The sequence below is a fragment of the Homo sapiens genome, chromosome 20 (assembly GCF_000001405.40).
Source record: "Homo sapiens chromosome 20, GRCh38.p14 Primary Assembly".
Classification (NCBI taxonomy): domain Eukaryota; kingdom Metazoa; phylum Chordata; class Mammalia; order Primates; family Hominidae; genus Homo; species Homo sapiens.
In genome coordinates, this window is record NC_000020.11 from 54,628,863 (window position 1) to 54,651,564 (window position 22,702).

A 22,702-nucleotide genomic window follows, 5' to 3' on the forward strand; every position below is an offset into this window, starting at 1 on the left:
ACACACTGCACAAGCACATTTTTTATTTTTAATGTCTTTTAGAAAATGGATTATCTATGATCATCATTCTTTTTTAAGGGAGACCATTTGGTCTGAGTCTTGTAGAAATGCAGGGAACATTTTAAGATTGAGTTAAAAGCATACTTAATATTCATGAAATATTTTGAATACTTCTTTCTAGAGACTCAAAATTATGTTTGGTTTCTTTGAGGACTCTGCTGCTCTCCTTTGAATTTCCCCTGGTTTTCATTTTCTAGTGTCATTTGGAGAAAAACAAAAGGGTTGGGGATAGTGCTGGGGGCAGGACTTATAAAACCACAGTGTATGAAGTGGGAAGATATTTCCTCTTTATAAGATTGCGCTTAGAGGAGTAATGCACTTAACATATCCCTCAGTGCCTCATCCACAGATACAGAGTCCTTGAAACCGGTGAATAGAATACTGTGCAAGTGAGCGAGGAAGCTGTGATTTATTTTGAGATGCATTAATTTCAAAATAAAGCACTTGGATTAAAAGATTCTATTGGTAACATGATATAAAATATAAACAGTGCAAAAGAACATACTCTATAAAACAAGTCTCTGTCCCATCGTCCCAGACACCCAGTTTACATTCTCTGAAGCACTTTACCAGATTCCTTTGAATCTTTCCAGAATATAAATTGTTTAATAGATATAAAACATATTTATGAATACATTCATTCATTCTACACATATAAGTACCTGTTCTCTGTAAGGCCTTGTTCCAAGAAGCAGGAGTACAACAGAGAACAAGAACTAGTCTTTGTCCTCAAGGAGTTTACTACATTGCTGTGGGTGGAGAAGACAATCAACAATCAATATATAAATATATATCAAGAACTGATAGTTGCTATGAAGAAGACAACAGTGTAAGACAGAGAGAATGACCGGGAATGGTCACTCTGGTAAAGTGATACCCAGGCAGACAGCCATTCCTAAGGGCCAGGTGCTTCAGGCCCAGGAGCCTTTAAGTGCCAAAGCCCTGAGGCAGTCTGTGCTTTGCGTGTGCATGTGCAAAGAGGTTGGTGATTCTGGAGCAGCTGAAATGAGGAGAAGAGCATAGCAGGTGAATTCTGAAAGGAACTGTGAGTCGGGTCCTGTCAGACCCTGTAGCTATGAGCTATGGATTTTCCTTGGGGAGAGTTGCGTAGTCATTGGAGGGTTTTGAGAAAGGGTGATATGCTAAGTTTGCTTTCGAATTGATCACCCTGGAAGCTGTTTGGAAACGACTGGGGGTGCCCAGAGCAAGGGTACGAGCAAGAAGATGAGTTAAACGCTACTGCAGTCATCTGAGTATCTAGGTGAGCATCGGGGTACGGACCAAGGTGGTGGTGATGGAGGTGAGGGAAAGTGGTGGATCCTGGGTATATTTTTGAAGATTGGACCAATAGGATTTGCTGATACATAAGAAGTCTTATAGAGTAGAGGAGATAGTCAATCTCAAGATTGTAGTTGTTTCTGTGTGTGTTTTAACCAGAACAACATGTAGAATGGAGGAAACCTGTACTCGGAAGGGGAAGAGGTTGAGGGGAGAGGAGTATGAGGAGCGACAGTTCAGGACATGTTAAACGGGAGATGCCTACCGGTCATCCGGGTGGGAGTGGGAAATAGTCTCCTTAATACACAACTCTGAGATTTGGGGGAGAGATAAGGGTTGCTGATTTCCAACTGGGAATTGTCAGGTTGTAGATAGATGGTATTTAAACCCGCCTGAATGACAAGCTGTCTCTGTGAATCTGTTTAGATTAATAATTCCCTTCCTTGTTTTTACGATCGTTTCATATCACTGCACAAAGATTTACCTTTTCTCTTCTTATTGGCTACAGATTAGTCTGTTACACAATAATGTGAAGGTAAGACTTCTCTGTGTAAGAATAAAAATGAAATTGCCAACTCATCTACTTTTTTGATATAGCAGCAACATAAGCAATTTTTGAGTCAGTCTAAAATCTATTGTAATATGCAAATTAAAATGAAATTCTAATATTCATTTAAAAACCGGTTATCAGAACAGTCTTCAATATAGTAGGTCCCAGGATGAAAATTGTGGTCAGCAGGAAAAAAAAATATTACAGAGGAGATTGGGTCAGAATTTAATTTTACTGTCTCATCTGGTAAATTAAACAGTGGTTAGGGAAATGAACAAACAAAGTATGATAGAGCCAAAGGATGGACTAAGATCCAGACATTGAAATGATGCTGTAGAAGACAGTATTTAGGAATGTTAGGATATGTTCATAATATACTAAATGACAAAAGAAAATGGCATGAGAATACGTACGCTATCCAATTTGTGTTAAATATACATTATGTATGTGCCTTTTAAAAAATATTGGCCCTGGCAACATGGCAAAACTCCATCTCTACAAAAAATACAAAAATTAGCCAGGCATAGTGGCACATGCCTGTAGTCCCAGCTACTTGTCGGGGGGCTGAGGTGGGAGGATAACTGGAGCCCAAGAGACTGAGGCTGCAGTGAGCCATGTTTTGCCACTGCACTCCAGCCTGGGCAACAAAGTGAGACCCTGTCAAAAAAATAAAGAAAGAGAAGAAAGGAAAGAAAGGAAGGAAGGAAGGGAGGGAGAGAAGGAGAGAGGGAGGGAGGCAGGCAGCCAGCCAGGCTATCTGGCTGGGAGAAAATATACCAATATGTCAAAAGTGGTTTTTATTTCCTTGTTTTGTTTTTCTGGGTAATGGATACGGGTTGATTTAAAATCTACCTTATATGTTTTCCTGTATTTTATGAACATAATAAAAAATATAGCAAAAGGAAGAACATAATTTATTACATGTTAAAAAATGTGTAATAGGCCAGGCGCAGTGGCTCACACCTGTAATCCCAGCACTTTGGGAGGCCGAGGTGGGCGGATCACAAGGTCAAGAGATCGAGACCATCCTGGCCAGCATGGTGAAACCCCGCCTGTAGTAAAAATACAAAAATTAGCTGGGCATTGTGGCACGTGCCTGTAGTCCCAGCTACTGGGGAGGCTGAGGCAGGAGAATCGCTTGAACCCGGGAGGCAGAGGTTGCAGTGAGCCAAGATTGCACCATTGCACTCCAGCCTGGCAACAGAGCAAGACTCCGTCTCAAAAACAAAACAAAACAACAACAACAAAATGGTAATGGGTAATAAATATCACAAAAACATGGACCCCTCCCCGCTTTTTGGTGCCAGGCAAAATACTACCAGACCCAAAGATAGAGCTGTCTTGGAGACTGTAAACTCCCTGCAGGGGTCGTGGCTGAATGTGAGGGCTTAGAGCTTTTTTGCTTTTTTCTTGTTCCTGCAATGGTTCCATGCCTATAGTAACATCTTAACTCAGGCTTGTTCCTTGGATTCATTGTACACTCACTGAAACCAGGTGATTCAATGTATTCTCTAAGCATATTATTTGGTGGTTTTATGTATGGCTTTTTGTCGTTGTTGCCTAAAAATATTTTAAGGTTTCTGCCCTCAAGCTAGAAAAACAGTCCAATATCAGATATTTAGATTTGAAAAGAAAATATGAATGCTTCTATTATGACCTTGTTCAGAAATTCTTGTTAAAGACAGTATCATGATATAGAGCTAATTCTAAATATTGGCAATAACCATGGAACTCCACAATAAATTATGCGTGGCCTAAGAATTAGCTGCAAAGCGAGAACTATTTTCTCTCTTTTTTACTGACCAGATATTGAGGACTAAGGGAGATTAAATAATGAGCCTAGGGTCATGCAGCTATTAGTGGCAGATTCTAGACTTTAACTCAGATTTTGTGACTTTCACGTGGGCTCTTACCACCGTGGAAAATTTCCCAGAATGATTGTTCTAAAGGTAATAAATAGCACAGGACAGTAATTCTCAAAGCATGGTTCCTAAATCATTAAGATCAAAACCATCTGGGAACTTGTTACAAAATACAAATTCCTGGCCGGGAGCAGTGGCTCACACCTGGAATCCCAGCACTTTGGGAGGCCAAGGCGGGTGGAGCACCTGAGGTCAGGAGTTTGAGACCAGCCTGGCCAACATGGTAAAACCTCATCTCCACTAAAAATACAGAAATTAGCCAGGCGTGGTGGTGCGTCCCTGTAATCCCAGCTTCTCCTGAGGCAGGAGAATCGCTTGAACCCGGGAGGTAGAGGTTGCAGTGAGCTGAGATCGCGCCATTGCACTGCAGCCTGGGTGACAAGAGCAAAACTCCATCTCAAAAACAAAACAAAACAAAACAAAAAACAAAAAAAACAAATGCCTGGGCTCCACCCTTGGAAATTCTAGGAGTGGGGCCAGGAATCTGCATTTGAACAAACCCTCCAGGTAATGCTTCTGCTTGCCGTTGGATAGCTGAACTGCTGACCCAGGGCCCAGAAAGCATAGGGAGATCATGTTTTCAAATATTATTTTCACAAGAGAATAAGTAGGCAGAACCCAAAGATATTGTTCAGGAAGCCACCTGGAGAATGGCAGTGAATGTGGAGGGTAGTGTAGATGAGAGCCGAGATTTCAGCAGAATGAGAAAAGCAGGTATTCAGAGGCTGGCTTCACTTGGAATGTGGTTTTATTCTTTCTCTCTTGGACTGAGATGTCCCTTCTGACTCAACTTTGCCCATGTTTTGTGCTTGAAATATTGATAGAAAATTAGTTGGGTTACATATATGAAACGGAAGATATGATTAGAATTGGAAGTTTCTCAGGTTGAGAATGTGTTCAGGCGTGGATGTGGCTTCTGACTCAGCTGAATCTTATCAAGACAGTGTCTTTATTCAGTCGCTTTAGGGCCCAGGTTGAATGAAAGGAAAATTACAATACGATTTGCATATGCAGAGTTGTTATTGGCAAAGACCCCACTTGAGTTATTAATACTTTAAGGAGCAACCTGATGAAAATTTAAGAGCTTGATGAGGATGGAATTAGGTATTGAGGTACTGATCTTTTTGCCATAGTGAAGATTTGTGCTCGTTTCTGAATGAATCCAGACTGATGTCACAAAGACGGCATATGGTACTCATGATTGACTGTCGCAGAAAACAATTACATCCTGTCGTGCTGTTCAATTTTGCAAAACACAATGCTCTACCATAAAAACAGTTGGATTCCAGAGAAGGACAATATGGTGCAGTATTGAGGCTAAGACCTGCCACTGCTCTGCACTCCTGGTCTCAGACTCATGAAAGAAGTGCACCAGCAGCAAGTCAGTGTCAGCGAAACCAAATGAGGAACTGGGAAACCAGAAATGCATTTGGCAGGTATGGCAGACAGTTGTTTTTCTTTTCTCAGTGACAAGCTATGCGCAGTGGTCCGGTCATTAGAATCTTTTTCTCTCCCAAGAGGGCTGATAGAATTTTCTCACCATTATGAGGAAAGGGCCTTGGCAATCAGCCCTTCACTCACTGTGAGTATTGGGAAGTTTTTACAAGGCTTTTACTGTGCTGTTAATGACAATAATGACGGCAGGGTGGGGGCGGGGGCAGGGGACCATGCTTCAGCCAGTTGTCGGTCAGGTCTTCATTCAATGTTACTTTTTCTGGGGCTGCTTGACCAGAAGTAGCCACTCAACTAATTCATCATATCATGCTTTTTTTTTTTTTTTTTTTTTTGAGATGGAGTCTCCCTCTGTCACCCAGGCTGGAGTGCAGTGGTGCGATCTCGGCTCACTACAAGCTCTGCCTCCCGAGTTCACGCCATTCTCTTGCCTCAGCCTCCTGAGTAGCTGGGACTACAGGCGCCCGCCACCATGCCCGGCTAATTTTTTGTATTTTTAGTAGAGATGAGGTTTCACCGTGTTAGCCAGGATGGTCTCGATCTCCTGACCTCGTGATCCTCCTGCCTCGGCCTCCCAAAGTGCCGGGATTAATATCATGCTTTTAAAATAATCTTCAGGGCATATACTACTATCTGCTTTTTTTTTTTTGGTAACAGGTTTATTGAGATATGAACATACCACACGTACCATACCATATACATGTACCCTTTCAAACTGTACAATTTAATGGTTTTAATGTAGTCAGGTTTGTGAAACTATCACAATTGATTCCAAAACATTTTCATCACCCTAAGAAGAAACCCCACCTCCTTTAGCTATCACCCCTGGATACCAAAAATAAAATTCTAAGCTCTTCAGCCAACTGGAAGAACTCCTGTTCTCTGCTAAGGACATTCAAAAGTTAACCTGAAAAACCAGTTCAGCCCATGATGGGAAGTGGGGGTCAGACATGCCTCATGATACCCTCCTCCCTTTGGAGTTCAGGCAAAACTGACCAGCATTAACATTAAAACAGAGACCTCAAGACTGACAAAACAGACTCTTTGTAGGAGTAAGATACTAACATGAGAGATAGCAGGCCCTGAAAGACATTTAAGTATTTTACTCCAAAATATATTATTTGACATATTTTGAAATGACCCTGCAAAGCTGTCTCTTGTGGGGAAAATCTGTATTCTGTAGAGAATCTTCTTCCCTTTTCAGGTGTTTTCTCTGATCCAGGAGAGAATTAACTAAGAGTCTGGTGCCCTTTTAATTCTGATAGGATATATTTACCATCTCTTCTCTCTGAAGCCTGGCACCTGAAGGCTTCATCTGCATCATAAAAACCTTGGTCTCCACAACCCCTTACCTTAACTCAGATACTCCTTTCTGTTAATTCCAGGCCTTTCGATAAATTCCTTCAACCAATTGCCAATCAGAAAATTTTTGAATCTACCTATGACCTGGAAGCCCCCATTTGGAGTTGTCTCACCTATCTGGATCAAACCAATGTTCATCTTATATGTATTGATTGATGTCTTATGTCTCCCTAAAACATATAAAACCAAGCTGTAGCCCAACCACCTTGGGCAGATGTTCTCAGGATCTTGTGGGGCTTTGTCAATGGGCTATGGTCACTCATATTTAGCTCAGAATAAATCTTCTCAAATATTTTTGACAGTACCCTCTAGGCCTCAGCAACCACTGATCTATGTTCTCTCTAGGGATTTGTTTATTTGGGACATTTTATGTAAATGGAATATCTTAGTTTATTTTTACGGCTATAACAGAATACCAAAGACTGGGTAATTTATAATGAACAGAAATTTACTTCTTATAGTTCTAGAGGCTGGGAAGTCCAAGATCAAGGTGCTGGCATCTTGGAAAAGGCCTTCCTGTTGTGTCATAACATGGTGGAAAGTATCAAGTGGTGAAAGAGCAGAGAGGGCCGGAAGAGAGACCAAGAGGGGATGAACCTACTCCTGCAATAATACACCTGAAACCGCCTTTGAAAAATTATGACAGTAAAAGAAATCTGACATGGCTGACTCCATCTTGATTCTAGCCTCACAGGCTGGCTGCCTTCATTTATTCCTGGGCATGGGCCAAGCTAACTTTAAGAGAAATTTAGTTTATAGTTTAAATGATAATAGCCCTTCCCTGAAACTAAACTGCCCTTGTAAAATTAATGAAAGGCCAAGTTAGGAGGATGAGAGGGGCCTCAGTTCTTCTAAGATTTAGATGTAGTTTAAAAATGACCGGACATTATACTGGAGGCCACAAGATTTGCAACTTCCCCAATTATTCCTGCAAATAATATCACTATTGCAGAACCTGAGATTGGCCTTTTGAGATGGCTGTTCAGATTTTTGCATTTCTGACAACCAGATGGCCCCACTAGACCTGTAACTCAACTAGTCCTGTGGTCCCACCCAGAAGTGGGCTCAGCATATGAGGACCATTTTCCACACCCTTATGATTGCATTTCCAACCAATCAGCAGCCCCCATCCCCTAACCCCTTGCCTGCCAAACTGTCTTTAAAAAACTCCTGACCTCTGAGCCTTCGGTGAGATTGATTTGACTAATAACTCCATTTCCCACGTGGTGTGTCTGACCTCACATCAATTAAGCTCTTTCTTTACTGCAATGCCATGATCTCCATGAATTGATTTTATTTGTGCAATGGGCAGGAATAACTCATTAGATGGTTACAAACGAACTCCCAAGATAATGGCAGCCCCTTTGAAAGGTTTCGCCTCCCAAAACAGTCACGAGACAATTAAATTTCAACAGGACTTTTGGGGGGGACAAACATTCAAACCATAGCATGGAATAACATAATCCCTGGACTTTCATGACTAGCACATTGTTTTCAGAATCATACATGTTGTAGCACATATCAGAACTTCATTCTTCTTTTTATAGCAATCTGAATATTTTTGTTAATTTGTATACAGTTTCATCACAGGTCTCTTAGTTCCATGAGAAAAGAGACCTGTAAGCCCAAGCAACTCCCATGAAGCAAAGCGTCTTCTGCTTCTACATTGTAACATGGGTCTCGTACTGCATGGTTAGCTTCTCTCCCCAGCAGCATGATGCTTTTTGTGCATTCAGAACCCAATTGATGACATAAGTCGATTGATTGCTTTAAGTATTTTATGCCACCAGGCAGCATCTTGACTCACTTAGGCCAGGTTAGGAAGAGACCTGCATGCATTCATGCTGTTTAGAGGGAAAGTTCAAGTGTTGAAGTACAAGAAGGCATTTGTTTGACTTTCACAAAGGCTTGTCTTTCTACTCTTGTGGGATCTTGAGCTAACACTGCTAATAGAATTAATAAATGTTCAGTGCTAAACTCCCCTGCTGTTGGATAGTCCTAAATGATTGTGCATATACACATAAGAAAGATCTTTCCCCAAGGTCCTGCTTCTGCTCATCACTTGAATGGCAAAGTCGAGTGAAGTAGTCTTATTGCCACGTTCCCCACAGTCAGTCACAGCCATGTTAATTTAACCGGGACCTAAAGTTTCAGCATGAATTCAGCCTTGGGCTAACAGTGCTTCTAATTTGATAGCTTGGTTAGGATTTATTTTTGAAGACAATTTTCTGCTACTTAGGCAAATCCTGGGTTCATTCATTCATTCATTCATTCATCACACATTTGTTAAGCCTCTGAAGGCTCTAGCTAGGTGCTGGGAATAGGATACAGAGATAAAAGATAATCCCTACTTTGGCCGGGCGCGGTGGCTCACGCCTGTAATCCCAGCACTTTGGGAGGCCAAGGCGGGCAGATCACAAGGTCAGGAGATCAAGACCATCGTGGCTAACACGGTGAAACCCCGTCTCTACTAAAAATACAAATAATCAGCCAGGCGTGGTGGCGGGCACCTGTAGTCCCAGTGACTTGGGAGGCTGAGGCAGGAGAATGGTGTGAACCCGGGAGGCGGAGCTTGCAGTGAGCCGAGATCATGTCACTGCATTCCAGCCTGGGTGACAGAGCGAGACTCTGTCTCGAAAAAAAAAAAAAAAGATAATCCCTACTTTTCAGCAGTTCATGGTCTAGAGCAGAAGGAAGGCTAGGTTAGTGACTATCACAAAACAGTGAAATGATGAGATATCTGGTAGAAGCACCTGATCCTATTAAGGGAGGAGAAGAGACATCAGGAGAGTATCTAAAGGAGGTGATTCCTGAGCTGACTCCTGAAGGGAAGGTAGAATTTAACCACATAAGTAATGGGGAGAACCTTTGGGCTTAGGAGCAGATGTGCAATGGATTTCCAGGCTCTTGGAAATGCCTGGGCTGAATGGTGTGGTTTAGGCTATGTTGAGGCCTGAGAAGGGAAGGGTGTCAAGATCAGAGCCCCCCAATCTAAGAAGTTTGGCCGTTAGCATGAGGATATATAGTCCCTTGACCGGTTAACTCAGGAGACTAGGCTGGATGTCCCCCATGGTTCTTCCAACTCTAACGTTCCATGATTCTTTTAAGTTTTTCTGACATAGGAAACAAAATGGGTTATTTGTAATTTTTGTGGTTGTTTTTTATAGAGTCCAGGGACATGATTTTAGTAGGTTATACGGGGTCAGGAGTATGGGTCACGTGTAGTATACAGTTTGTTCCACCATAACACCATTTCTTTTCTTTTCTTTTTTTTTTTTTTTTTTTGAGACTGAGTCTCGCTCTTTTGCCCAGGCTGGAGCGCAGTGGCATGATCTCAGCTCGCTGCCACCATGCCTGGCTAACTTTTGTATTTTTAGTAGAGACGGAGTTTCAACCATGTTGGCCAGGCTGGTTTTGAACTCCTGACCTCATGATCCATCCACCTCAGCCTCCCAAAGTGCTAGGATTACAGGCAGGAGCCACTGCGCCCAGCCACACCACTTCTATATTGCCACTGAGCTCAGATGTATTTGAAAAATTGGAAATTCACTACAATATTAAGGTTGTGTTGGTTCCTAAGCAATTTTTTCTAAGAAAGGGAAGCCCAGATTAGAAGGAGTGAAATTGTAACCTTAAGCTGGATAGGAAAAGGTACTTACAGACTGGTGCACAGGCATGGCCTCTTCCAGAAGATGAACCATGAGCACAAGTCCCTGGACTCCCTCCCTATAAAGGGGTGTGCCCAGCCTTTGCAGTCTTGCTCAGCTCCTGTTCATGTGGCTGCACAGCCACCATTGCCAGCTTTCTGCAATAGCCCCTTCTCTACCTCTGTCACCTGGACTTCCTCAAGCTGGCACTTCCAATCAAGTGTTTTCTACATTTTTTATAACCCCAAATCAACCTCCAGTCTAGCTGGGCTGTGCAAACTATCCCCCAAAGTAACAATGACTCTGGTTGTAAATAGGCATACATTTGAATGGCCAACCCACCCCCTGAATTTTCCCACAATTTTGTGAATGGGAGGTTTTTCAAGAACTTCTGTGTCACCTTACAGGGGAAATCCCCATACTTTACAATTCTATGGCTCAGGGTAATTTTTATTTTTACTTGTTAATGTGAAGATATTATATCTATTGTAAAAAAAAAACTATATAAAAATATATTTTTTAAGTAGGAAGACTGTAATCCTTCTCTCCAAATACACTAAATCCTCATTTAATGTTGTTGATAGATTCTGTGGCTTTAGCAGAAGGACATACAGCAAAACCAATTTTCCCGTAGGCTGATTGAAATAAAGAAGAGTTAAATTCCTATGGCATATTTCTGGTTACAAAAACATTACCAAACTTCTAGATAAAGACAAAAACACTTCTAATATTACACATTGAAATAAATGTGAGCTATACGTACATTTGAGAAAAGATTAATCAAAACAAGACGATTATTTACCCAGTGGTTCCAGTTCAGGGTCACGGGTGGCCAGAGCCCACCATCTCTGCAGCTCTGGGTGCCAAATGGGACCCAGCCTGGACAGGATGCCCTCCCGTCTCAGGACACACTCACCCATACCCACACCCACTGAGACAGGGACCATTTAGACACACCAGTGAAGCCAACAGGCAGTTTTGGGATATGAAAGGAAAGCGGAGGACCCAGAGAAAACACAAGCAGGCATGGGGAGAACGTGCCAAATCGACACAGACAGTGACCCTGCCAGGAACAGATTTCTATATTCACATTGAAGTTGTAATGAAACAAAGCTGAATGCATTGACGTTATTTGAGGACCTGCGGCGCTCCAGGTAACCCAATTTCAACTCTTCCAAACATGAGTGCTAACTGCTATTTCCACCAGGGCGGTACATCAGTGCCACTTGTGGCCCTCCACTGGTGGTTGATATCAAGGATAGAGGGACTCAGGGCGTCACAGAAGAGGGAGCGGAAACCTGCCTACTGGATTCTCACCAAATGACTTCCTGCGTCTTTTCTCCCTGACACAATTATGCAGACATTTCTGCATTGTTATAAGGCTTTTCTTTTTGTCCAAAGACAATTAAAATGCTTCTTTCATAAAATTAGATGTTTTTCCAAAGGGTTGAGAAAGAACTAGAGAGCCCGGCTTTGTACCGTTCTCCTCTTCAAAACGCGGCGTTGCTGTCATTTCACTCTTGATCCCAAATCAGCTTTCTGAAAATACAGTCAAATCATGCTGGGCTGCCTAAATATATTTGCAGTGAAGTAGTGAATAATTTGAAGTGACTAGTATTCCACAAATGTTTTCTTTATATGAAATTTTCTGTTAAATTAAATAGAATCTCTTTATATCAAGAAAATCAAATAACCCCTACCTCTAAATTGAGTTCTTTTCCTTCTTTTATTTTTTGAATTCCATGCAAATGAAATAGAATGTTACTAAAAGTCACTGGTAAATCGTTCTGGATTTTTTTAGACTTTCATGTATACAGAAATAACCACTATGAGAAGCTGACGAGGTGAGGGATATGTTAATTAGCTCAAATGAATTTTTTTATAGTATGTACATAGATCAAAACATCACATTGTACTCTATAAATATGCATACTTATTATTTGTCCATTAAAAATACATTTTAAAAATTAAAAACAAGAAACAGCTGCAGAACTTTTCTACTAGCTTAGTACTTAGCTTTTGGACCTTTTCATCTAAAAGTTTATTTTTAGGAAAAGTTATCCTCATGGAATCTAATCCTGTGTGATTCCACTTGGGGGCATGTTTTGGTAATTGTGGAATTATGATAGGGACAGGGAATTCGATTCAGCAAATGTAAATTCAATGCATACAAATTAAATTTTCTTTTGAGTGAATATTATAATCTTTTTTTCAAGTTGAATCTCATGAACTACAATGAGTTTTGGTCTTCAACATATGAAGCCTCCTATTATTTTGGCTTTACTGAGTGAATTATGCCTGAAACTACCATGCTGAGGGGATGTGTACAGTGGAGACTTTTTTTTCTTTAAGAGATTGGAAATTTTTAAAAAAAAAATCCTAACATGGGCATTGCAATTTCTAATTATCATCATCATCATCATCATCATCATCATCATCATCATCATCTCCATCTCCATTTTTCCCCTTTACCTATTTGTTACTAGGTAAGTCCAAGTAGGTATCATCTCATCAAACTCTTATACTTTCCAAATGGATAGGTGTATAATTTCGACAATTTTCATATGAGCAACTAAAATGACATTGCACTAGGTCTGTAACCCCCTGTGTCTCCTTCGTGGTACGACATATAAATGTTTCATTTCCAATTCATGTAAATCTTCCATCTTTGCCAAGTATTACATTGTGCCTATGTGTAGTTAACTGGGCCTTGAATGGGAGGATACTTAAATAGCCGTCAGCTCTCGCCAATGTGAAATTACCTCCCAATGAACATCTTGCATAAATCTTTGTGGGTGAATTTTTTTAAAGATGGGAATGGATTATTTGATATTCAAGCATCCAGGAAATTCAACTTTGCAAATAGTCACTTCTTACACAATGGCATAATCAACCTGCGTCATGATTGTGTCTAAGACCAGGGCTCAGATACGGGGGTGCCTGGAGGTCTGCTTCCACTTGCACCCCCATTCTTCTTGCATGCGTTGACCCCGTTCACCTTTCCTTTTATTCTACCCATCCTACAGGCTCTTTTCTCTCTGAAACTTTCCTTCTTTTGTATAATTCTTTCCCCGATGTGGTTGGTCAGGCTGTTGACTGCTCTCTGATAATCTGGGGGACTAGAACTGTGTCTTTAGAGTTGCCTGCTGCCAAAAGCCATTTCATCTTTTTTCCTCCCTCAATGTCTGGAACAATGATTTGTCGACAATACTTGTTCAAACAGACTTTTATTTTTTCTTTCTGATGCCAGAACACCCAACACAAGTCAGTTTAAACTGACAAGAATTAGGCTGGGTGTGGTGGCTGACACCTGTAATCCTAACATTCTGGGAGGCCGAGGTGGGTGGATCACCTGAGGTCAGGAGTTCGAAATCAGCCTGGCCAACATGGAGAAACCCCATCTCTACTAAAAATACAAAAAAAAAAAAAAAAAAAGAAAAATTAGCCGGGCGTGGTGGCATGTACCTGTACTTCCAGCTACTCAGGAGGCTGAGGCAGGAGAATTGCTTGAGCCCAGAGGCGGAGGTTGCAGTGAGCTGTGATCGTGCTACCACACTCCAGCCTTGCTGACAGAGCAAGACTCCATCTGAAAAAAAACAAAAACAAAACAAAACAGAAAAACCCCAAACTGAAAAGAATGAAATGGCTAATACAATTGAAAAGTCTGGGGCCAGCCTCTGGATTCAGTGGGATCCAAGGTCTCAGTGGAGTGTGTGAAGATCTCTCTGCTTTTCTTGGCTGTCTTCTTCTGAATGGTGTCTACTCACTGTCACGTGGTCCCTTTGTAGTTCCAAGATAGGCTCCAGTCCCATCTCCAGCCTCTTAACAACTCCACGAGAAATCATTCAACACATGTTACTTGTATATCTATTACATGCAAGGCAATATTCTGCACTCTGGGGATAGATCAATGAACAAAACAGTCATAAATCTTTAGCTTACTTCTGCTGATTCTCTCTTCCACAAAAATGCTAACAATGTCTCAGTAAATTATTTCGGAGTGGTCTGGCATGGGTCACCAGCCCAACCCTAAAGTGAATGGGGGAATCAGCCCCACCGGGACTAGAGGGACTTAGCTGGGTTGGAGGGAAGTTCCCCAAAGGAACGTCATCAAGGCACTGTTGCCAGCAGGGTAAAGAATGGATGGTGCTAAGTAAGCAAAAACAGTAGCTGGCCACCATGCCCACCACCTTCAATCGATGTTCATTGATTTGCAGCCTGGCCAGCTCTGTGGTTCTTTTACTCCATGCTCTCCTGTTTCCTCAGTCAGGCCACTTTCGGCCCCAGTGTTGCTGACGCACAACTTTCTTCCCTTTGGCTGCAGCTCCAGATGAAGATGAGTGAGCGGGCCGCCTCGCTGAGCACCATGGTGCCCCTGCCTCGCAGCGCCTACTGGCAGCACATCACACGGCAGCACAGCACGGGACAGCTCTACCGCTTGCAAGGTAAGCGTGGGGCTACCTGTGTCCAGGGTGTGGGCCAGGCCTGGGAGTACTGGGGAGGGGGCTCAGCTCAACTCGCAGCTGCTGCATGCCAGCTGGTTAGTGCCCTTCCTCCAAAGGTAGGACCCCCATCAAGGCCTCACACACGAGGCACTTAATCTTTGTAGAGCCAAATATCTGTATGGCTCTAGAGATATTTGTATCTATCACAGTGTCCGGGGGGAAGTCACTTAAAATGAAGATTCTTGGGTTTCATCCCCAGAGACTCTAGATCTTAAGGCATAGGATGTGGCTGAGCAATCTGCACTTTTAACAGACCGTACACAGGGTCTGGGCGAGGGGCCAGGGACCAGGCTACAAGAAATGATGTAGTGGACTGATGAATCACAGCATCAGCATTACTTGAAGTCTTGCTAGAAATGCAAATTTCCATGCCCTTCCCCAGACCTACTGAATCAGGAGCTCTGAGGGTGGGGCCAGGCCACCTGTATTTGAACAAGTCCTCCAGGTGATTCTCCCGAGAGCTCAGGTCTAGGAGCCAATGTTTTGGTGGATGGGGCCCTGGACTGAGGCCAGAAGCCATGGCTTCAGGTTTGCTGAATGACTTTAGGCAAATCCTAGTAAGCTCTTCTTCTAGAGAAGTGGTCTCTGAAGCATGATGCAGAACAGCCCATAGTGTGGACAACATGAACAATGAAAAAATCTGCTTAAAATGGCCAGGCGTGGTGGCTCACGCCTGTAATATCAGCACTTTGGGAGGCCAAGGCGGTCAGATCACCTGAAGTCAGGAGTTGAAGGCCAGCCTGGCCAACATGGTGAAACCCTGTCTTTACTAAAAAAAATACAAGGCCGGGCGCAGTGGCTCACGCCTGTAATCCCAGCACTTTGGGAGGCCGAGGCGGGCGGATCATGAGGTCAGGAGATCGAGACCATCCTGGCTAACACAGTGAAACCCCGTCTCTACTAAAAAACACAAAAAAATTAGCCGGGCGTGGTGGCGGGCGCCTGTAGTCCCAGCTACGCGGGAGGCTGAGGCAGGAGAATGGCGTGAACCCGGGAGGCGGAGCTTGCAGTGAGCCGAGATAGCGCCACTGCACTCCAGCCTGGGTGACAGAGAGAGACTCCGTCTCAAAAAAAAAAAAAAAAAAACAAAATTTAGCTGGGCGTGGTGGCATGTGCCTGTAATCCCAGCTGAGTCAGGGGAATCACCTGAACCTGGGAGGCGGTGGTTGCAGTGAGCCAGAATTGCACCATTGCACTCCAGCCTGGGCAACAAGAGCAAAACTCCATCTCAAAAAAAAAAAATTCTATTTAAACCTATCCTTTCAAACATATTTGTTTTGTTTTGTTTTTCATTTCATAGTACATAAGAATAGCTTATTATGTTATGCGCCTTTGTGGGGGATACTTGTAAAAAAACTCTTTTTTTTTTTTTTTTTTTTTTTTTTTTGAGACAGAGTCTCGCTCTGTCGCCCAGGCTGGACTGCAGTGGCGCGATCTCGGCTCACTGCAAGTTCCGCGCAAAAAAACTCTTTAATGATGAGGTACAAGACCACCAAACTGGAAATAGAGTGCACTGGACTACACGTAGTTTACGTGCAGAAATTTGCTGAATAATTGAATGCAAGAATGAATGAATGACCATGGAAGACTATGGCCTTAGTCCTCCATGCTCGCTCTGAACCCTCAGTCCTCCATGCCCGCTCTGAACCCTCAGTCCTCCATGCCCGCTCTGAACCCTCAGTCCTCCATGCCCGCTCTGAACCCTCAGTCCTCCATGCCCGCTCTGAACCCTCAGTCCTCCATGCCCGCTCTGAACCCTCAGTCCTCCATGCCCGCTCTGAACCCTCAGTCCTCCATGCCCGCTCTGAACCCTGGTCACAACAGCATTTTTTTCTCAGTCTTTGCTGTTGGTCCTTTCTCCCCCAGGCAGCTTTTCCTGTATGCTGCGCCCGTCCCTCATCCTAGTTAACTCCTGCTCACCTCCAGGTCTCACCTCCAGCGCCCCTCAGGCTCCAAGAAAGCCCTCAGGACTTTCTTGTAACTGGAGTGGACATCTCTGATGACGTGCACTCATAAGATGCAGATGATGGCCGGTTTTCATTTCATATTTATGTGGCCAATTGACTCATGGTCAGCTCTCCCAGGAAGCAATAATGTACAGGAGGGCAGGAGAGCTGTGCCTCCTTCTATCTTTATCATTTTATCCCCCGGCACCTTGTATGCCTTCCATCAGGATTTGTCGAAAGAATGCATAATGTTAAGAAAGCACTGGGGGTATTTACATTTTAGTTTTCATGACTCTGTGCTCTGTTCACTAGCAGAGAGCATGGCACATAGCAGATGCTGCAAAAAAAAAAAAAAAAAAAAAAAAAAAAAAAGATACTGAGTGCCTCTGTGAGCAGCTGAGCAAACGACTGAATTAATAATTGACAAATAAGCTTACCTTCCAAGATTTCTCTGCAGAGAGAGTGAGTTAGATTGGGTTGTCACAATGCCACTGATTCTCACTTAAACTTCAAAAATGTTTGCAATATTTGAGTTATATCATCACAATTTTTGTCATATACATACCAGAATGTTACTCGATTTTACTCTCTTCTATTTTAATATACTTCTTTAAAAAAAGCATATTTTACTACCTTAATACTGTTATATCCACTGGTTATACTGTTTTTTTTTTTTTTTTTTTTTTTTGAGACAGGGTCTGGCTCTTCGCCTAGGCTGGAGTGCAGTGGTGCGATCATGGCTCACTGCAGTCTCAACCTCCTGGGCACCAGTGATCCTCCTGCCTTAGCCTACCAAATAGCTGGGACTACAGGTGTGTGCCACCAAGCCCAGCTAATTTATTATTTTTAGTAGAGAGGGTGTCTTACTATGTTGCCCAGACTGGTCTCAAACTTCTGAGCTCAAGTAGTCCTCCTGCCTCGGCCTCCCAAAGTGCTGGAATTATAGATATCAGCCACTGCACCCAGCTAGTTATGCTTTTTAATAGACAATAAAATAAATAATAAGTATTGAAGATTTAAAAGATGTTCACAGAGTACCTAAAATTATCTTGCTTATCAAAAGTGGCTATTTAAACAAGTACATTTAAAAAAAAAGTTTTATTCTTCTACCTATACTACCTACCTTCCCTCTCCCCTACTTTTCATACCCCTTAGAAAAAGGAAATAGGATTGGGAAAAGTTAATGACTTGGGGGCCTGGGGTGTGCCATATGATGAAGTTACAGAGCCTTTAATTTCTTCTTGTTTTGCTGATGATTATGGGTTGTAATTCCTCTGGCCAATTCACCTACATTGATGAATTTCAGGCTTTTTTTTTTTTTTTCTGGCAAATCTGGAGGTTAAGGTTGGAAATCATACAGACCCTTAAGGAGGAATTTAACAAATTGGTTTGAGAATAATGGTCATTTTCTTCAAATGTAGTCTTCGAGAGCCCCCTGCTGGTTGATTTGGGAATTATCATTTTACTACAGTTTTTGGTGGGGAAAGGGAGGTGGCTGGTTTTGACACGTGCCACACAAGACATACCTAATCTACCTTCACTGCTTCTCCCACGTCGTTTTAAAATTTTCATAGAAATTCTCTTCTATGATTATGCAGATACAAAATCAACATTGGAAGTAGGTTTATAATGAAAACTGTCTGGGCGTGGTGGCTCACACCTGTAATCACAGCACTTTGGGAGGCCGAGTTGGGTGGATCTCCTGAGATCTCGAGTTCAAGACAAGCTTGGCCAACATGGTGAAACCCCACCTCTACTAAAAATACAAAAATTAGCTGGGCATGGTGGCGGGCGCCTGTAATTCCAGCTACTCGGAAAGCTGAGGTGGGAGAATCGCTTGAACCCAGGAGGCAGAGGTTGCAGTGAGCCATGATCATGCCACTGCACTCCTGCCTGGGCAACAAGAGTGAAACTCTGTCTCAGTTAAAAAAAAAAAAAACAAAAAAACTATGGAAGAAACTTACAGAAGCAATCAACAAGTTTATGTTGAATACTATTCACTGGATTCTTTTAGGAATGCATTGGATAAAATAACAGCAGTTACATCAGTAGCATTTCCCAAATTATGTTCCTTGGAAAGCTAACTCTGGTAGACAGCACCTTTCCCCTAAGAAAGGTTACTGTGGTCAAACGCGTCTGGGGGAAATGCTACATGTTAAGTTCTCATGGAGAGTCAGAAAACAAATCAATAATTTCAGGGCTCTGAGATGCCCTGCAATGAAAAACCTGATTAAACTTGTTTAAACCAAAGCTCTGCACATCTATTTGGACATGAAACTTCTTTTCCTTCTTGTTATATGAATAAGCATTCACGTGCCACCAGTGCAGTGCTGAAATCTCAGATTTCATCATTACGAGGGAGACAAGCCATATTCAATGGGGTCTTTCTAAAAGCTACTCTTTCTGAGGACCTACTGTGTACCAGCTTTCCGCTGGGACCTAACATACATGATCTCATTTAGATCCCAAAACAGCTGCCCGAAAGGGTATTTTATTCTCATTTGCTGTTAGGAAACTGAGAATTTGAAGGGTTATTAATGGGTCCAAGACTACCTATCTAGTAAGTAACAAAGATTTTAAGGTTTTTCTCTCTCATTCTTCCATCCATCCATTCTTTGTTTACTCAGTAAACGTTTATTGAGCATCTAGTTTAGGCCAAGCGCTGTGCTAGATGACAGACATACCTGGGACTCCTAGGCAGGGATATTCCTTCCCTCTCGGAGCTTATAATCTAATGGAGAGTCACAATCCATAATCAAGCAGACATAGTTAATTTCAGATTTGGTATATGGAACAGTGGAAAAGAAAGTTTTTATGATAAAGAAAGTGAGGCAGAGCTGTTGGTTTTGAGAAGATGCTGACAAAGGGACTTCTTGAGATGGGGTAGTCAGTGGAAGCCCCTGCAACACCCCAAGACCTTAAGTCTAAAAGAGGCAGCCATACCGAGAGCCAGGGGAAGGCATTCTCCATAGAGAGGTCAGCAAATGCAAAGGCCCTGAGTCAGAAATGAGCTGCGGGCATTCAAAGATCAGGAAGGAGCCAGTGTGGCTGGTGCCTAAGGGACATAAAGAGACAGCCGGGGTGGTGAATACAGGTAATCAAGACTTGCTTATTCTAAGTGTGAGGGGAAGCATTAGAGGGTCCTCAGCATGGCAGTGTCAGATTTAATCGATATTTTCATTCAAGGGATTGCAAGAGAACAGGAGAGGAAGTGGGAGACTAGCCCCAAGGCCGTTGCACATGAGCACCGGAGTGTCTGGCCTCAGTACAATGTTCCTCTAACTCTCTCACCTCCTTCTCAAAGTTATCATCTCAGCAATCTTTACCCTTAGGCCAAGGTGCTTCATTGCTCCAGTGTTTTCCGAACTCTTCTGTGGGAATTGCCTTGGAAGATAGCATCACTGTTTCAAAACAAAAACAAGAAAAACTAGGCACCTATATCATAGATCGGACCTAAGATAATTTGAGGAAATCAAAGAGTGGCACTAAACAGTTGTGTCACTGAACCAGGCGTCTTCCATGTAGCCTTATGGGGTTCTCCTGACAACCATGGGAGTTGGTGAGAGTGGGACTATGGTCTCCATTTCAATGACTGAAGAAACAGAGACCTTTGGAGGTTAAGGTCTTACTCCAGGCCACATGGCTGGTGGATGTAGGCGAGACCCCCTCCCTACAAAAAATCCAAGAATTAGTCACGTGTGGTGGCACACACCTGTGGTCCCAGTTACTTGGGAGGCTGAGGTGGGAGGATCACCTGAGCTCAAGAGGTTGAGGCTGCAGTGAGCTGAGATCACGCCACTGCACTGCAGCCGGGGCGAAAAAAAATACATACAAATAAAATAAAATAAAATAAAAACAACATTGTTTTGAATGTGTGTGGGTGGGGCGGACATGCTCCACTGGCTGCAATCCTGTTTCTTGTGCCTGCTTGATCCACACATTTACTCACCAAGGCTGCGGAAGTTTGTTCCAAAGGCTTTGCGGTGAGTCCTGAGATCTTCACCTAGCCGTGTACATTTCTTTGCTTGCGGTAACCGTTGGCCAGCAGGTGGCAGTAGAACCTCTAGTTTTTGTTAAATCAGGGACGCATTATCTACAGGGATTGGCAAACAATGGCTTGTGAGCCAGATCCAGCCTGCTGACTATTTTCATTAATAAAGCATTATTAGGACGACATTCATTACATATTAACTGTGGCTGCTTTTGTGCTACAGGCAGCAGGGCTCAGTAGTCGCAATGAGACCATATGGTCTGCAAAACCTAAAATATTTAGTGTCTGGCTCTTTCTAGAAAATGCTTGACAACCCTTATATTATTAATATGTCACAAAGGGGGCTAATAGGGATCTTGTGTGTTGCCTTCTTGACTTTTTAAACTCTGTTTGGTCTGAAATCTAAACCTGAAATAATAAAGGCTAAATGAATTTTAGGAAGTTCTCCTTAACATTTACAAGATTACCAAAGTATAAGCATAAGACTGCCTTATTGCTGCTCAGGTTTCCAGAATATTCTAGCTAAAAGTTTCCATAGTTCTGTTTCTATCTCATTTCTCCTGAATACCCTGGATATGGGGATTGATGCAGATGAAAAATTAAGGAAGAAAATAATTGCTAATGGACTGACCATGGCTCAGCCCAAAGGCCACATGCAAATGATACGTAAATCATGCAATCTCTGTGACTCATTTACATATCATCCTGAGAGGCCTTTGGAAAAAATTCTGCCTTAAGTACATTTACTTATTTCTGTTATAGAGAAAGTTGTTGCCACCTAATTTGATTGTGGGCTTTCTTGAAATGTAACTGTTGATTTTAAATTCTTTTTGGAAAAGATGTTTCCAGCCCTCTGAAGCTTCATCGAACAGAGACTTTTCCAGCCTACAGATCTGAGCACTGACAGTAACTGCCAAGAATTGTTAACACACTTGTGATGTGTCAGCCACAGATTCACCCAGGAGGTCACAGAATGACAGCAAGGGAAATGACGACCAAGAGAAGAAGCTTAAAGTCCTGGCTAATTGTGTGGTCATTGGAAAACTCTGCAATACAATAATTTTCTTTATTTTCTTTTTCTTTTTTAAATTCTTAGTGTAATTGAAACGTGCTCTATAGATATTGACTCTGTGTTCCCTCTTTTACAGCTGGACAGAAAGAAGTCAATGTCACGAAATGATTTTCTATTGTAGATACTTTGTCCCTTGCACTTCTCTGAATCTGTCCTTTTGTGGATTCTTGTGATTTTCCTTCCAAGTGTTTCAGTTGTATGACAGTCAGTATTGACAATAAAATGGCTTTTAATTATTTGTTATTTGTTTACACCCTATTCCTCAGTTATTATTACTGTGGTTCTGATTAACTACTGGAAATTATATTTGATTATATCACCAATTAGTTAAATCAGTGCTTCGACTCACTCTTATCTGTTCTGTTCAAAACTATTTGTTCAAAGAACCCGTTAGTGTTGTTTACAGGGTTACAGTTTCTCTCACATGCTTTCCTCACCCCTTTACCCCCCTTTTTGAAAGCCTTTATTTTGTTCGGAGTCTCTTCATAAAACATTTGAAAATAAAAGATCATTCTTCACCCATATGTTCTTTGGATTCTGGCAACATGTTTTTCTCTATCCTAGGTATTTCTGAAGGGTGTGTGGACATTTTGCATGTGAGCTGTGAGTGTATTGTGTGTTGTGTCTAATATGAATCCAACCATTCACGCATTTGCTCACTCATTCATTAATGTGGTCTGTATTGAGCATCTATGAGTTTCCGGCACTGTACTGGAGTTCAGGGATGTAGAAATCAAAAGACAGTCTTTGTTGCCAAAGACCTTAATTCCAGAAGAGTGCCACAAGAAAATCAAGTTGGAAATATCATACAGTGACACCTGCCAAATGGGCCCCCAGTGGCCATGAACTTCTAAAGAGAAGGTCAGTGCTGGATGTGAGTTGAATTTTGTGAGCACCTAAAGTTAGAGTTCCTCTAA

The 22,702-nt window shown here is 42.4% G+C and overlaps 1 protein-coding gene across 4 annotated transcripts in view; it reads left to right on the forward strand.

Annotated features, from left to right (window-relative positions):
• The window catches only part of DOK5 (docking protein 5), a 175,577-nt gene extending 153,270 nt beyond the window's left edge, over positions 1-22,307 (forward strand). For all 4 annotated transcript variants that reach the window (NM_018431.5, NM_177959.3, XM_011528904.2 and 1 more), the window contains exons 7-8: positions 14,596-14,716; positions 21,553-22,307. In NM_018431.5, the coding sequence (NP_060901.2) occupies positions 14,596-14,716; positions 21,553-21,617 (186 nt within the window). In that variant the 3' untranslated portion in view covers positions 21,618-22,307. The remainder of the gene's footprint in view (positions 1-14,595; positions 14,717-21,552) is intronic.
• Positions 22,308-22,702: the final 395 nt, after the last annotated feature.